The 15,345-nt window shown below is 44.5% G+C and overlaps 1 protein-coding gene across 4 annotated transcripts in view, besides 4 other annotated features; it reads right to left on the bottom strand.

The window, feature by feature from the left end:
* MAP2K1 (mitogen-activated protein kinase kinase 1) overlaps nucleotides 1–15,345 on the bottom strand; it is a 104,633-nt gene that overhangs the window by 15,608 nt on the left and 73,680 nt on the right. The window lies entirely within an intron of this gene.
* Nucleotides 376–1,052: an enhancer, noted in NCBI's record as "H3K27ac-H3K4me1 hESC enhancer chr15:66767223-66767899 (GRCh37/hg19 assembly coordinates)". NCBI's record gives its function as "activates a minimal SCP1, AML or CMV promoter by ChIP-STARR-seq in primed H9 embryonic stem cells {active_cell/tissue: H9 hESC(primed)}" and the evidence as "EXISTENCE:reporter gene assay evidence [ECO:0000049][PMID:30033119]".
* Nucleotides 3,273–3,322: an enhancer, noted in NCBI's record as "active region_9614". NCBI's record gives its function as "activates an Ori minimal core promoter by ATAC-STARR-seq in GM12878 lymphoblastoid cells {active_cell/tissue: GM12878}" and the evidence as "EXISTENCE:reporter gene assay evidence [ECO:0000049][PMID:35858748]".
* Nucleotides 3,553–3,652: an enhancer, noted in NCBI's record as "active region_9613". NCBI's record gives its function as "activates an Ori minimal core promoter by ATAC-STARR-seq in GM12878 lymphoblastoid cells {active_cell/tissue: GM12878}" and the evidence as "EXISTENCE:reporter gene assay evidence [ECO:0000049][PMID:35858748]".
* Nucleotides 4,439–5,116: an enhancer, noted in NCBI's record as "OCT4-NANOG-H3K27ac-H3K4me1 hESC enhancer chr15:66763159-66763836 (GRCh37/hg19 assembly coordinates)". NCBI's record gives its function as "activates a minimal SCP1, AML or CMV promoter by ChIP-STARR-seq in naive H9 embryonic stem cells {active_cell/tissue: H9 hESC(naive)}" and the evidence as "EXISTENCE:reporter gene assay evidence [ECO:0000049][PMID:30033119]".

Below are 15,345 nucleotides of genomic sequence, written 5' to 3'. Positions count from 1 at the left end.
AAAATAAGGTGTTTGGATAAAACAATTTAGGGAGTCATTTATTTATTCTAGAAACACAGAGTATCTGCACTGAGCTAAGAGTAAAAAGGACACAGGGATTGTCACCATCAGGGGAGACAGAATCCAACAAATGACAAGAACATGTGCACGTGTAAGGGCAAAGATGAAGATGTGGTCAAGGCCCCGTGGACTCGTTCTAAATTCTTCCAACCAGGTGGGATGGGTGCCACCCATCAGATGATAGCCTGAGTAGCTGACAAGGCCCCCGGCAGGTAGATGAACCAAGGTGAATCTCGGCCTTCTATGTGTTTCCACTATATCCTAATACCTTCATTTTGTTTGGTTTAGGCTAATATTAAAAGCAGCTGAATTCCCTAAGGCAAGATGGAAGACGGTGGGGCTTGGGGGAAGAGAAAGGCAGTGGAGGGGTGAAGTGGGGAGCCCAAAAGAAAGAGAAGAGGTGGAAGGAAGGAGCAAGGGGCTGCTGAGAAGCAAGCAGAGTGACACAGGGAAGCTGGATTCTTGCTCATCTGTGACAAAGGCTGAATCCAAAAGTAGATAAGCAACAGTTAAAGGATTTTAAAAAAAGGCAAATGAAGATTTTTTAAAATGGCGACTTTAGGCTTCAAACAACCTCTTCTTAGTATCCTTGGCAAAGCCTTAATAACTCTCCCCACTAAAGATGAAGAAACAGAGAGAAAGGGAGCTGACCTGGATGAGTCAAATCGCACCCTCTACAGAGCCACCTCCAGCTATCCATGGCCTCAAGGAGCTAATTAAGTAGCAGAGATAATTAAAATTCTGAGAAAATCCCCAACTCTTCAATTAGCCATTACCTGTAAGCTCTTTTCCCCCACCCAAATTTCCTTCCCCAAGAGCATTGGGAAAAAAAAGCCAGGATGCAGCTGAGAGACTAGGTGGGAGAATGAGAGGTGCAGGCGAGCCTAGCAGACCTAAGAAGATCCTACAACAGCTCTGATTTATGGAACACCTGCTATGTCAGGCCTTTTAAATATACTTTTTTTTTTTTTTTTGAGACAAGTCTTACTCTGTCACCCAGGCTAGCGTGCAGTGGCATGATCTCAGCTCACTGCAACCTCCGCCTCCCCAGTTCAAATATACTATCTTCTTTAATCCTTACAGTAACACTGTGAGGTAAGCATTATAAACCATTGCACACAGATGAGAAACACTGAGGCCTAGAATAGGAAGGCGTCACCTGTTAGGGTGGCACAGGGAGTTAACGATAGGGCCAAGGGTTAGAACTCAGACCCCTGAGGGAGCGTTCTCTCCAGGATCTAAAAAATCAGGGCCCAGACAACAGGACTAAAGGCAACCCATAATAAGTTGTACTCCAAAGTTTCACAAGAGCCCTTATTGAGCTGTGGCCGGGGAAGGAATCATTCACATTACAGATGTAATGAGCTTTATTTCTGGGAACAAGGATTTGACTTGGGGCAGGCTGAAATCCCTGAAATTCAGTAAGGAGAGAATAGTTCTCCACTCCAGTTTAGCGAGTGAGCACGATGCTTCTTTCTCAGCTCCAGCCCATTATCCTTCTTGACAAGGCCAACTGCAAGAAAGGTGCTAACAGCAGGAACCAGAGGTTGTTTCCCACCTCCTGATTAGCAACTGAATTCAAACAGGGAGCCTCCAGAGCATGCCTGCCAGGTCCTAACAAGCAACTATTTTTATCTCCCTCACTTTCAAGATTTTTACAACCAAGCCCAGAAACTGCATTTTAAGTTTCTTTTCTTCCTTCCCTTCCAAGCCTCATTAGTTTTGAAATGCTCTCCTTCTCTACCCTCCCTACACCCCTCTCTGCCAATTCACTGCTCATCCCCTGACCCAGAGGGCCCACAAACCCTGACAATTAAACATGAGATGATGTTGCAGGAGCTTAGGATTTGCTTTTCATTGGCACACAACATTCCAATAAATTATCTAAATTTTTAGGCCGGGCATGGTGGCTCAGGCCTGTAATCCCAGCACATCAGGAGGCTAGGGCGGGTGAATTGCTAGAGGCCAGGAGTTCAAGATCAGCCTGGGCAATGTGGCAAAACTCTGTCTCTACTAAAAATACCAAAAAAAATTATCCAGGCATGGTGGTGTGCACCGGTAGTCCCAGCTACTCAGGAGGCTGAGGCATGAGAACTCATTGAACCCGGGAAGCAGAGGTTGCAGTGAGCTGAGATTGCACCACTGCACTCCAGCCTGGGTGACAGAGCGAGACTTTGTCTCAAAAAAGAAAAATAACATAAATTATCTAAAATTTTAATACAGGATGTAACAAAAGCCAGAGCAAAAGGTATAGGGGGTACAGAGAGAAGAGAGGTATAATAAAAGAAAGGAAAGAAGAGCAGTCAAGGGAAATGCTTATGAATCCCAGATTCCCTGACAGCACTCTTTTTTTTGGCTGGAGTGCAGTAATATGATCATGGCTCACTGCAGCCTCGACCTCCTAGGCTCAAGCGATCCTCCCACTTCAGCACACGCCACCATGCCCAAGTAACTTTTTCTTTTTTTGGTAGACAGGGTCTCCCAGCTTTGCCCAGGCTGGTCTCAAACCCTTGGGCTCAAGCAAGCCTACTGCCTCAGCCTCCCAAAGTGCTGGGATTACAATCGTGAGCCACTACGCCCAGCCTGATCTCTCATTTTTCATGACCCTTCGTAATATTTGGCAGAATAGTCCTAGTTTACAGATATGGAAGTTGAGGCTGGAGGATAAAATCTCTTGCCAAAGGTCACAAAATAACATTAAAACAGCATATTTCCCCCACCAGATTATTTGGGCTACCTCAGAGGAGCAGATATGCAATGTATCACAGTATCACAAACCCAATCAACCACCTACAGGCAGGAGAACAAACCTGGCTAACTTGAGTTCTTATCATATGCTATTCAAGAAACGGAAGTTAGCTAAAAATCTGTTTTGACCTGCTGAAGGCTAATTTTGTTTAGCAGGAGAGGTGGGAGGTAGTGAGGTGGGTGTTAAACAATGACAAAAGAAGATAGGCCAGAGTTCTGTTCATTATTAAACAATGAGTAAGTAGGAAAGAATTTCTAGTAAGGTCACCATATTTATGTGACCCAGGCTCCACCAAAGTATGGCCTCCCCATTTGTGCCTGGGTCACAGCTTAACATAATTCACCAAAAAAGGTCTGGAAAAAAGGTCAAGAAACTACTCACCAGTTATTCCTAGCTTGGGATAACCCGTAATGGAAAGACTTAGAAGAATGTGTTTGACAATTTAAAGACAGATGTCAGGCATTCCTTGTCTCCTCATCACACATACTTCTTTGGGGCAAATGCAGCTTAAGGTGGAGACTGACACAATGAGAACCTTGTCCCTGGCTACAGGGCAGCCCCCTGACCCAGGCTGGGCCACTTACAGCTCCCTGTCACCTGGCCACGGTGATCTCATAGGTCTGGGCACACGACCCCTAACAGTCCAATCAGGAGTCCTCACTCAGAACTTTCTAATTGAAGTGAGAAAAACTCTTCTGATAACAAAACTGTAAAGCAGGAAACCATGGTTCCATCTGGTAGACAGCTGGCCCGAGAGAAGAAAGCCAACATCGAAAGGGAAACAAGTGAGAGGGAGAGATCTAACAGCATTTTTTTTTTTTTTTGAGACGAAGTCTCACACTGTCGCCCAGGCTGGAGTGCAGTAGCACGATCTCAGCTCACTACAACTCTGCCTCCCAGATTCAAGCAATTCTCCCTGCCTCAGCTTCCCAAATAGCTGGGACTACAGGCACCCACCACCACATCCAGGTAATTTTTGTATTTTTTAGTAGAGATGGGGTTTCGCCATGTTGGCCAGGCTAGCTAACAGCATCTTTTTTTTTTTTTTTTTTGAGATGGAGTCTTGCTCTGTTGCCAGGCTGGAGTGCAATGGCGCGATCTCAGCTCACTGCAACCTCCGCCTCCCCGGTTCAACCGATTCTCCTGCCTCAGCCTCCTGAGTGGCTGGGACTACAGGCACCTGCCACCACGCCTAGCTAATTTTTGTATTTTTAGTAGAGACGGGGTTTCACCATGTTGGCCAGGCTGGTCTCAATCTCTTGACCTCACGAACTGCCCGCCTTGGCCTCCCAAAGTGCTGGGATTATAGGGTGAGCCACCATGCCCGGCCACTAACAGCATCTTTTTAAAGTATATTTTAATCAAAGTATAAGAGCTAATGGCATTTGAGTCCCTGGATACAATTATCCATCAGGCCAGCTGTATTTCTATCCTTCCTGGGGTTTGGTTAGCTGATACAAAAAAAAAAATCATCTTTATTGTTTGAGCTAATTCAAGTTCATTAGCAACCAAGAATCTTAACACCCAGTGATTCTTATCATCAGCTGGCATCATAAATTTCATTATTAAGTAGGCCATTTAGGGTGGTGTGGAAACAGCACCACTAACCTTGATCTGAAGTTAGGCAGATCTGGGTTTGAATCCTAGCTCTATCATCTACTAGCTCTGTGGCCCCAGCCCAGTTACAGAACCTCTCTGAGCCTTTCCTTGACTGTCAGGTGGGAATAGTAACTCCTACCTGCTAATGTCTGGCAGGTACTAAGTACTCAAATCAGGAGGCTTTAAATGTGAGAAGCACAGAAGTCAGAGTTCAATGGCTCTTGCAGCTTGGAGGGAAAATAAAAGCTAACATTTATTTCAGAAAAAAATATAACCAATATAAGGAATCAGATTCCTTCTCAGCCTGGCTTCTACATAACATGGCCCCTGTGAAAGGAAAATAAATCTTGGGGCCCCAGAAATCACTAAGCTAAAGGGAAAAGTCAAGCTGGGAACTGCTTAGGGCAAACCTGCCTCTCATTCTGTTCAAAGCCATCCCTCCGCTCACTGAGATAAATGCGTATCTGATTGCCTCCTTTGGAAAGGCTAATCAGAAACTCAAAAGAATCCAAGTGTTTGTCTCTCACCTACCTGGGACCTCGAAGCCCCCTCCCTGCTTCAAGTTGTCCTGCCGTTCCCAACAGAACCAAGGAACATCTTACATATACTGATGTCTCATGTCTCCCTAAAATGTATAAAACCAACCTGTGCTTGGACCACCTTGGGCACATATCATCAGGACCTCCTGAGGCTGTGTCACAGGGTCCTCAACCTTGGCAAAATAAACCTTCTAAATTAACTGAGACCTGTCTCAGTTATTCAGGGTTCACATTTTGGTAACCACCAAGGGATTCTGAGTGGAGGTGCCCCTGACCTTTGACAAATCTCCTATTGGTGGCTGGTACCAGCTTGAGCTATCTTTGTGCCTCAAACCAATCAGACAATTTGCTGACGCCTGGAAGCACCTCCTCCAGAGAATCCCCGATCTCCCAAAATTTGGAGGTGATCTAAAGTTTATTTTGCTGTACAACTCCTTTTTTGTTTCTGAGTTTTACTTGCTTCCGACACAAGGAAGGCAAGTTTTCCTGCTTCCGTGACAATGGAAGGCAAGTAACTCCTTTACGGAGTTTTGAGCTTGCTTCCAACAGGGAGGACAGGTTTGAGTCTTTTCCTGCTTCTAGGATGGTAGAGGGCAGTCTTCAGCATGAAACCCATCCCTAAGTAACTGAATTAGGGTTTGTCTTGGCTACAGTTATGATTAACAACCAGCTGGTCTTAATTTCTCCTTACCATTAGAGCTCTCAGTACTTGTATAGGTTGTGTGATCATTTGTTTTGCTTTACTGTTTCTTTTTGTTGTTGTTTCGGTCTTTTTCCCCTTGGGTTTGACCAACTCTATGCAACTTGATCAAATTTGAAGGAAAGTTCCAAATTATGGGGAACGAGGCCTCTGAAGTGGCTAAATTCCCACAAAAAAAAAAAAAAAAAAAAAAAACAAGAAAAAAAAGTGGCATGGTGGAGGGAGAAAAACGGCCAGCAAAAGAAAAAAAGGAAAGATTTTTTATTTGACTCCTTAAGGGGCTTTATTCACAAAACAATGCCACGTTTTTGCTAGCCAGGCCAAACTGAAGGAGCAATAGCTATCACCTCAGGCTGCAGTTCCATACATAAGGTTCTGCCTTCTTTTTTTCATGACAGCCTAGGTTTGGTTCCTAAATCAAGCCCTTTCTGAAAGGTTTGATATTTGGTACTTCTGAAACAGCAGCAATTTGTCCAAGCAGAAATACGGCAATGAGATTTAAACAGATTTTTTTAAAGGAGCTCAATGGTTAAAAGTCAGCTTAATTAAAAGCTAACATCCGATATGTGTGTGTGTGTGTGTGTGTGTGTGTGTGTCTTTAAAAGGATTTTATGTTTTGGGTTTGTTTTTTCTCTGTCTAGGACCCTGTCTTTTTTTGAGACAAATTTTTCTTCTTCTCAGTTGACAGAATTCTGTTTTCTTCATTTACTTCTGCTCTCTCTCCTTTCTCTTGCACCCTCTGCTGCATGAGAAACCTAAAATAGTTTATAATAGCCTGGAGTTCCTCAACAAAAAAAAAAAAAAAAAAAAAAAAAAAGGAGGCACCAGACTCCCTTTGGGGGAGAAACCTGTTTTTCCTTATGGGTCTCCCCAAGAGTATAAACAAGTTCCTCTCAGCTATTAAACTGCTTTTGTATTGTGTTACCTGATTTTCTGACTAAAATAGTTATTGCAACAGAGGCTACTCTTGGGTTTTTAATGAAGAGTGTAGTTTAGACACTTAGAAATGTCTTTGTTTAAAAAACTTTTATTTTGAGACGGAGTCTTGCTCTGTCGCCCAGGCTGGAGTGCAATGGCACGGTCTCGGCTCACTGCAACCTCCACCTCCTGGGTTCAAGCGATTCTCCTGCCTCAGCCTCCGGAGTAGCTGGGGTTACAGGCGCCTGCCACCATGCCTTGCTAATTTTTGTATTTTTAGTAGAGACGGGGTTTCACCATGTTGGCCAGGCTGGTCTGGAACTGCTGACCTCATGATCCACCCGCCTCGGCCTCCCAAAGTGCTGAGGTTACAGGCATGAGCCACTGTGCTCAGCCAAAAAAAAAAATTTTTTTTTTTGAGACGGAGTCTTGCTCTGTTGCCAGGCTGGAGTGCAGTGGCACAGACTCAGCTCACTGCAGTGGCACAGACTCAGCTCACTGCAACCTCCGCCTCCTGGGTTCAAGCGATTCTCCTGCCTAAGCCTCCCAAGTAGTTGGGATTACAGGCACGCACCACCACGTCCAGCTAATTTTTGTATTTTTAGTAGAGATGGGGTTTCACCATGTTGGCCAGGCTGGTCTTGAACTCCTGACCTCGTGATCCGCCCACCTCGGCCTCCCAAAGTGTTGGGATTACAGGTGTGAGCCACCGCGCCCAGCCAAAAAAAAATTTTTTTTAAAAGCATCATGTGGTCTAGCCTCCTTTTTGGAGACCCAGAATTCAGTGTGGGCTCTACTCAGAACTCAGAGATCCAGTTAAGATAGGTAGTACCTATCTAAATAAATTGGTCTCCTTATACAATCCTATGATAGATTTCTATAATTGTATGTTTGATTTGGCATCCACCTTTAATCTTCCTCTAGCACCACCAGACTTTTCCTCTCTGTACTTTATGATGTAAATTTTGCTATCTGATTTTTCACCAAAGAGTTGTGTCCTTCAATACGCAGATTTAGGAGCTATTTAGCTGACAACTGCCAAGCATAATGAAACAGGTTATCAAGAGTTTGCAAGTCTTAGACAGAAGGGGGGAAAAAAAAAGGAGGTCTGTCTTACCTTTAAGATGTACTTCTATCAGTATGTCTAATATGTCCACGTATTTATGTGTTGTGTACACAATGATTTACTACTAAAAAATATAAAACAGCTCTAATTAATTGGCTTAAGGAAAAATAAAAGCACAAATCAAATACCTTATCAGAAAATGAAAGACTAGTCAAATGTTTTCTCAAGTTTACGTAAAATCTTTGATAGATAAGCTACCTTTAAAATTGTTGGTAAAGTACTATTAGAAATGCCTTAAGAATAGCCAGGGTACATTTTTGTTTGCATTTTTTGATCAAGAAATTTCATATGTATCCCTGCCAAATATTATAAGGTGTCAAAATTTGGCATAGGGATTACAAAACTATAAACCCAGCCCAAAACAGGATGATCTTTGCTTGTGAGCCACCGGGCGCGGTGGCGCATGCCTGTAATCCCAGCACTTTGGGAGGCCAAGGCAGGCAGATCACTTGAGGTCAGAAGTTCAAGACCAGCCTGACCAACATGGTAAAACCCCATCTCTACTAAAAATACAAAAATTAGTTGGGCGTGGTGGCAGGCACCTGTAATCCCAGTTACTGAGAAAGCTGAGGCAGGAGAATTACTGGAACCTAGGAGGCGCAGGTTGCAGTGAGCTGAGATCATGTCACTGCACTCTAGCCTGGGTGACAGAGCCAGACTTTGTTTAAAAAAAAAAGATCTTTGCTTCTGTAAATATTGAAAGAGACTGACATTGGTTTAGTGAAAATAGCTAAGTCTTGAATTATTTAGTAAAATAACCATAACTTCTAATCATGTGGCTTTAGGCAGCCTAGTCCCCAGGCAGGAAGGGGGTTTGGGGAAAAGGCTGTTATCGTCTTTGTTTCAAAGCTCAACTATAAACTAAGTTCCTCCCAAAGTTAGTTCTGTCTATGCCCAGGAATGAACAAGGACAGCTTGGAGATTAGAAGCAACATGGAGTCAGTTCGGTCAGATCTTTTTCACTGTCTCAGTTATAATTTTGCAATGATGGTTTCTCTTTTTTTTCTTTTTGAGACGGAGTTTCGCTCTTGTTGACCAGGCTGGAATGCAATGACACAATCTTGGCTCACTGCAGCCTCCGCCTCCTGGGTTCAAGTGATTCTCCTACCTCAGCCTCTCGAGTAACTGGGATTACAGGTGCTCATCACCACCCAGACTAATTTCTTGTATTTTTGTAGAGACAGGCTTTCACAACGTTGGCCAGGCTGGTCTCAAACTCCTCACCTCAGGTGATCCACCATGCCCAGCCCTGCAGTTTCTCTTTAAAAGGTGGTTTTATAATCAACTATAAAACTCTAACAGGTGCTCCTGAATACAGGCTTCTGATAACTTTAAAGACTGTGACATCAAAACAGAGGAAAAACTTTCATGACTCATGGAGAGCTGAAATGTTCATGAATATCAAGCAGAACAGGAATTAACTGCATGAACTGAACTTACAGGAGACTGAAGTAATCTTTTTTATTTTTTTGCTTAAATGCTGCTGATTCTTTGTGTTGTTTTTCAGAGTCACGGAAACTTTTCTTTTGAGCTATTGACAGGTTTTAACAATTTGTTTGTTTTTTTGAGATGCAGTCTCGCTCTGTTGCCCAGGCTGGAGTGCAGTGGCATGATCTCAGCTCATTGCAACCTCCACCTCCAGGGTTCAAGTGATTCTTGGGTCTCAGACTCCTGAGTAGCTGGGACTACAGGCACACACCACCACGCCCAGCTAATTTTTTGTATTTTTAGTAGAGATGGGGTTTCACCATGTTGGCCAGGCTGGTCTTGAACTCCTGACCTCAAGTGATCCACCCGCCTCAGCCTCCGAAAGTGCTGTGATTACAGGCGTGAGCCACCACGCCCAGCCAGGTTTTAACAATAAAGTATACATACGCCTATGAAAAAAATTGAAGCATATTTGTTTCTCTCTACCTGATTACTCCAGAATTTGGAAACTATGTGGGAGTATTCTTAACTTACGGCAATATAGTTATCTGCATATGTGCAATAAAAATCTGTTTTCATTTGTAACAGGACACAATTGGAGAAACTGGTTGTTTTACCAAGGCTTTGACTAGAATGGTGTGCTTTCCTTTAAGGAATCCAACTTGATTTATAAAGCCAATAAAAGCCCCTTGGGAAAACTGGCCTCATACCTTGTCTACACAGTCCCTGTACAGGGATCTTGGCCTGTGGTAAGTAAAGAATGTCACTTTCTGATAGGCCCAGGAGCCCCAAGTTATCTTGGGACATCAAGAGGAGAGGAATTCACCCAACTTGTATGTATTTGATGGTACAAATCCATGGCTGGGCTCAGCTTTAAAAAAGTCTTATCTTTAAAAAAAGTCTTATCTGAGATTCCTTCTACAGAGCAAAGTTCCATCAAGGCCAATTTTAAAAGCCTATGTGAAAAATAATTATTCTTACTGTACTTCATAGAAATAATCTGTCCAAGTATAATAAAGCAAATTGGTCCTACCATGATTTGTCTTTAGTAAAAACAGGAAAGTGGAGAGAGAAAAAATACGTTTCAAAAACTATAGTACACCCGTTTTTTTGTTGTTGTTGTTGTTTTTGAGATGGAGTTTCGCTCTTGTTGCCCAGGCTGGAGTGTGGTGGTGAGGGAAGAGACCACCTCATATTGTCTTATGCCCAATTTCTGCCTCCAAAGAAAGAAGAAGTAAAAACTAAAAGGCGGAAATGAAATCTACAAGCAGACAGCCTGGTGCCACACCCTGGGCCTGGTAGTTAAAGACTGACCCCTGACCTAATCGGTTATGTTATCTATAGATTACAGACACTGTATAGAAAAGCACTGTGAAAATCCCTGTCCTGTTCTGTTCCAACCTGATTACCAGTGCATGCAGCCCCCAGTCGTGTACCCCACTTGCTCAATCGATCACAACCCTCTCACGTGGACCCCCTTAGAGTTGTGAGCCCTTAAAAGGGACAGGAATTGCTCATTTGGGGAGCTTGGTTGTTGGAGATGTGAGTCTTGCTGAAGCTCCCAGCCGAATAAAGCCATTCCTTCTTTAACTCGGTGTCTGAGGGGTTTTGTCTGCGACTTGTCCTGCTACAGTGGCACAATCTCAGTTCACTGCAACCTCCGCCTCCCAGTTTCAAGGATTCTCCTGCCCCAGCCTCCCAAGTAGCTGGGATTACAGGCATGCGCCACCATGCCCGGCTAATTTTTTTGTATTTTTGGTAGAGATGGGGTTTCACCATGTTGGCCAGGCTGGTCTTGAACTCCTGACCTCAGGTAATCCACCCGCCTCTACCTCCCAAAGTGCTGGGATTACAGGTGTGAGCCACTGTGCCTGGCTATAGTACACCTGTTAGATTCTAGTCTTACCTAGTTTTTCAATTTTTATCATTTTTTACAGTTTGGACTTAATTCTAATTTTTCCTGGCTACAGGTCTCTAAAACAATGTTTTCAGCCAGGCACGGTGGCTCACACCTATAATCCCAGCACTTTGGGAGGCCGAGGCAGGTGGATTCACCTGAGGTTGGGAGTTCGAGACCACAGCGTGACCAACATGGAGAAACCCTGTCTCTACTAAAAATACAAAATTAGCCGGTCATGGTGGCGCATGCCTGTAATCCCAGCTACTCAGGATGGCTGAGGCAGGAGAATTGCTTGAACCCGGAAGGCAGAGGTTGCAGTGAGCCAAGATCACGCCACTGCACTCTAGCCTGGGCAACAAGAGCAAAACTCCGTCTCAAAACAAAAACAAAAAAAACAATGTTTTCAATTTCTTTTCCTTTTTCCCATCTTTCCTAATTTGAAATTACTGAAAACTAAGCTGTGCTTTCTTAAAGCCCTGTGAACCGAAGCTAGACAACTTCAAAAGAAAATAACAGCATACATAAGCCACCTTCATACCTGCCTACTGATGTATGGACTTCAGAATAATGTGGCCTATATCACTTTTCCAGAATTATTCTTTTGTTTATTGTAGTTTTTCTCCCTTTCTCCCCCTATTTTCTCATCATAGGACATGAGACCACAACCTGCTAAAAATGAGCTTTCCTAGTAACTTGGGACCTACCTACCTGTCTAGGAATAAACTGTCCTAGCCGCGAGAGATCCGATGAAACCTGAGACGAAAGATTCATTTTCTTCTAAAATGCTTTCTCAAAAGTTTTTAAAAAGAAAAGGGGGGAAATGTGAAAGAAAATAAATCTTGGGGCCCCCAAAAATCACTAAGCTAAAGGGAAAAGTCAAGCTGAGAACTGTTTAGGGCAAACCTGCCTCTCATTCTATTCAAAGTCACTGAGATAAATGCATATCTGACTGCCTCCTCTGGAGAGGCTAATCAGAAACTCAAAAGAAAACAACCATTTGTCTCTCACCTACCTGTGACCTGAAAGCCTCCTCCCTGCTTTGAGCTGGCCTGCCTTTCCAGACAGAACCAGTGTACATCTTACGTATATTAATTGATGTCTCACGACTCCCTAAAATGTATAAAACCAACCTCTGGCCAGGCGTGGTGGCTCACGCCTGTAATCCCAGCACTTTGGGAGGCCAAGGCAGGTGGATCACCAGAGGTCAGGAGTTTGAAGCCAGCCTGGCTAACATGGTGAAACCCCATTTCTACTAAAAATACAAAAAATTAGCCGGGCGTAGTGGCAGGCGCCTGTAATCCCGGCTACTCGGGAGGCTGACGCAGGAGAATCGCTTGAACCCAGGAGGTGGAGGTTGAAGTGAGCCGAGATCGCACCATTGCACTCCAGCTTGGGCAACAAGAGGTGAGACTCCGTTTCAAAAATTAATGAAAAAACCCCTGCCCTGACCACCGTGGGCACATGTTGTCAGGACCTCCTGAGGCTGTGTCATGGGCATGCATCCTCAACCTAGGCAAAATAAACTTTCTAAATTAACTGAGAGTAGTCTCAGATATTTGGGGTTCACACCCCCTCAGTGCCAGGAGGATCTATACTGTTCCATATATGTTCCCTTCGTGTTTGACTCTGAAGCACTTACTGTTCAATCGAGATATCTTCTCTCTTCACGTATATCCTACTGTCCTTCCAGTCTGATTCAGACAAATGAAGAAGGGAGAAAGGAGGGCTTCCTAATTCAGATGTATCCCCCTAATTACCTCCCTTCACTCACCCGAAGGAGCCCCACCCACAATGTACACTATATAAGTGTTGGTGGATTACTCAGAGACTTGGGAATTGTGCTAAGAGGGTCAGGTTGAATCTGGGCTGTGTCTGGGATGGACTTGATACACACTGGTTGCTGAGAGGTGGTGTCTTCCTCCTGCCCTCTGGACAGAGAAGCAAAGAAACAAGTGCAAAGCACGCAGAATAAGCAGGAAGGCCGCCTAGAATTCCAGTGGCTTTCTGGTCCCTGTCTTGTCCCATCCCTTCCCGAGCACTGACTACATCTGGTCCTCACGTTCCCTAAGGGCCCCCTGGATCCCTATAAGGAAGTCCCCTGTTGTGTTTACACTGGCTCAAGTTGGTTTCTGTTATGTGTAACCAAGAATCCTCACTGAAACAAAGCCCAGCTCCCAGCTCCTCTGTGAAGCCTCCCCTGACAGCTGTCCACCCACAAGAGTCCCTCTCCTTGGAACCCTTGAGGTTTTTTATCATGTATGTCACTTGTTATGTCAGTACATATGCTATTTTCTTTTAGCCAATTTTTTTTTTTCAGAAAAATCTAAATATTCACAAAAGTAGAGACAGTAACCATGTACCCATCACCCAGCTTCAACAATAATCCATTTTTTTACCAATCTTTTTTTTTTTTTTTTTTTTGAGACAGAGTCTTGCTCTGTCGCCCAGGGTGGAGTGCACTGGTGCGATCTCGGCTCACTGCAACCTCCGCCTCCCGGGTTCAAGCAATTCTGTCTCAGCCTCCCGAGTAGCTAGGACTACAGGCATGTGCCACTACGCCCAGCTAATTTTTGTATTTTTAGTAGAGATGGGGTTTCACCATGTTGGCCAGGCTACTCTCAACTCCTGACCTCAGGTGATCCACCCACCTCAGCTCCTAAAGTGCTGGGATTACAGGTGTGAGTCACTGTGCCCCGCCCCAATCTTATTTCATTATAACCCCCAGCTTTTTCTTTGCAGGGTGGGAGGGAGTGGAATGTCTTAAGGCAAATCCCAGACCTCATGTGTTAATTCACCCATAAACCTTTCATCTGACTTGTAAAGTACAGTCTTGCTTTTCCAACTAGGACTCACAGCTCTAAGAGGATAGGAACTATCTCTTCTGCCTCTTTGGAGCCCAGCATTGTATACGCAATGTGCTTTTAAATGCCATAACTTTAATGCTATTACACAACACTTGGTCAGAGTTTCATCTGATCCTGAGGACAGTTCCAGGAGATGGAAAAGGAATTGAGATTACCTCTAAAAGAAGGTGAGATTCAGAAATAATAAACAACTCTGCCAGGATCACCCAGGAAGCCAACAGCCAGGCTAGAAGGAAACTTCCATAAGGTTCTATGCATAGCCAGAAAGGTAAAGGGAGAGGACACAGTGGCTCGGAGGTCACTTGGTGGGTAGCAGCTTCTTGGGGATTTGGTGCCTGTTACCACCACCTAATGACAGCCCTGCACGCACTTCACAGGGTGGTAAGCACTTACCTCCAACAATAAACTTTGAAATGTTTTTTCAAATGAAAAAAGAAAATTCCATCGTGTTTGTTTCTAATTAGTTTGGTCTTATCAAGCCTTATGCTGGTTCCCATCCTCAAGCTGAGCTATATCACTAGACTCTATTATTATTTTATTATTTATTTATTTATTTATTTATTTATTTATTTATTTAGAGACAGAGTCTCACTCTGTCACTCAGGCTGGAGTGCAGTGGCGCAATCTTGACTCACTGCAACCTCCATCTCCCAGGTTCAAACAAGTCTCGTGCCTAAGCCTGCTGGAATTACAGGTGCCCACCACCACACCCGGCTAATTTTTGTATTTTCAGTTGGGGTTTCGCCATGTTGGCCAGGATGGTTTCAAACTCCTGCCCTCCCATGATCCACCTGCCTCAGCCTCGCAAAGTGCTGGGATTACAGACGTGAGCCACTGCGCCCAGCCCACTCTTGTTCCTCTATGGTGTTGGGCATCATGAGCTAAGTTCCATCTTGCTTTGGGTAGTGGTTAATAAAATTCACTCTGAGTTTCATTCCTATGTGTCCAGATTTTCAAATCAAACCAGCTCTCTTAGGGCTGGGATCCTCCTCAGGAAATAATCTGTAACTTAGGAAAGGGCAGCCCCAGCCTCAGGTTTCCATTAGAAATGAGGCTTTGTGATCTGAGGAGGAGGAGAACACAGCTCTCCACGTACAGCCCTGGAGCACGGCCATGGGCCTCAGGCTCCTTCCCACCACAACCACCCCAGGAAGGGCCAAGGCCAAGTCTCCCTGCTACTCCCCTACCCATCTTCCCACACCAGTCCCTGCCCTTTGCACCATCTCTCTCCCATCTGTCCCCATCCTGTCCCTTCACTCTGCCACTATCCTAACTCAGACCCCCCCTTATCTCTCACTGGCCCATAGCAACGGCCTCCTAATTGACCTCTCCCCTCTCCAGCTCACCTTAGCCGTAACAGTAGAGTCCTCTTCCTTAAACCACAGCACATCTCACTTCTCTGTGCAGGATCATTCCACTGCTTCCTGTTGCCCATGATAAAATCCACTTCCTGAACATGGCA

This window comes from Homo sapiens, chromosome 15, assembly GCF_000001405.40.
Source record: "Homo sapiens chromosome 15, GRCh38.p14 Primary Assembly".
NCBI lineage: Eukaryota > Metazoa > Chordata > Mammalia > Primates > Hominidae > Homo > Homo sapiens.
Note: the sequence above shows the minus strand (reverse complement) of the source record. Positions and strands in the feature narration are given on the sequence as shown.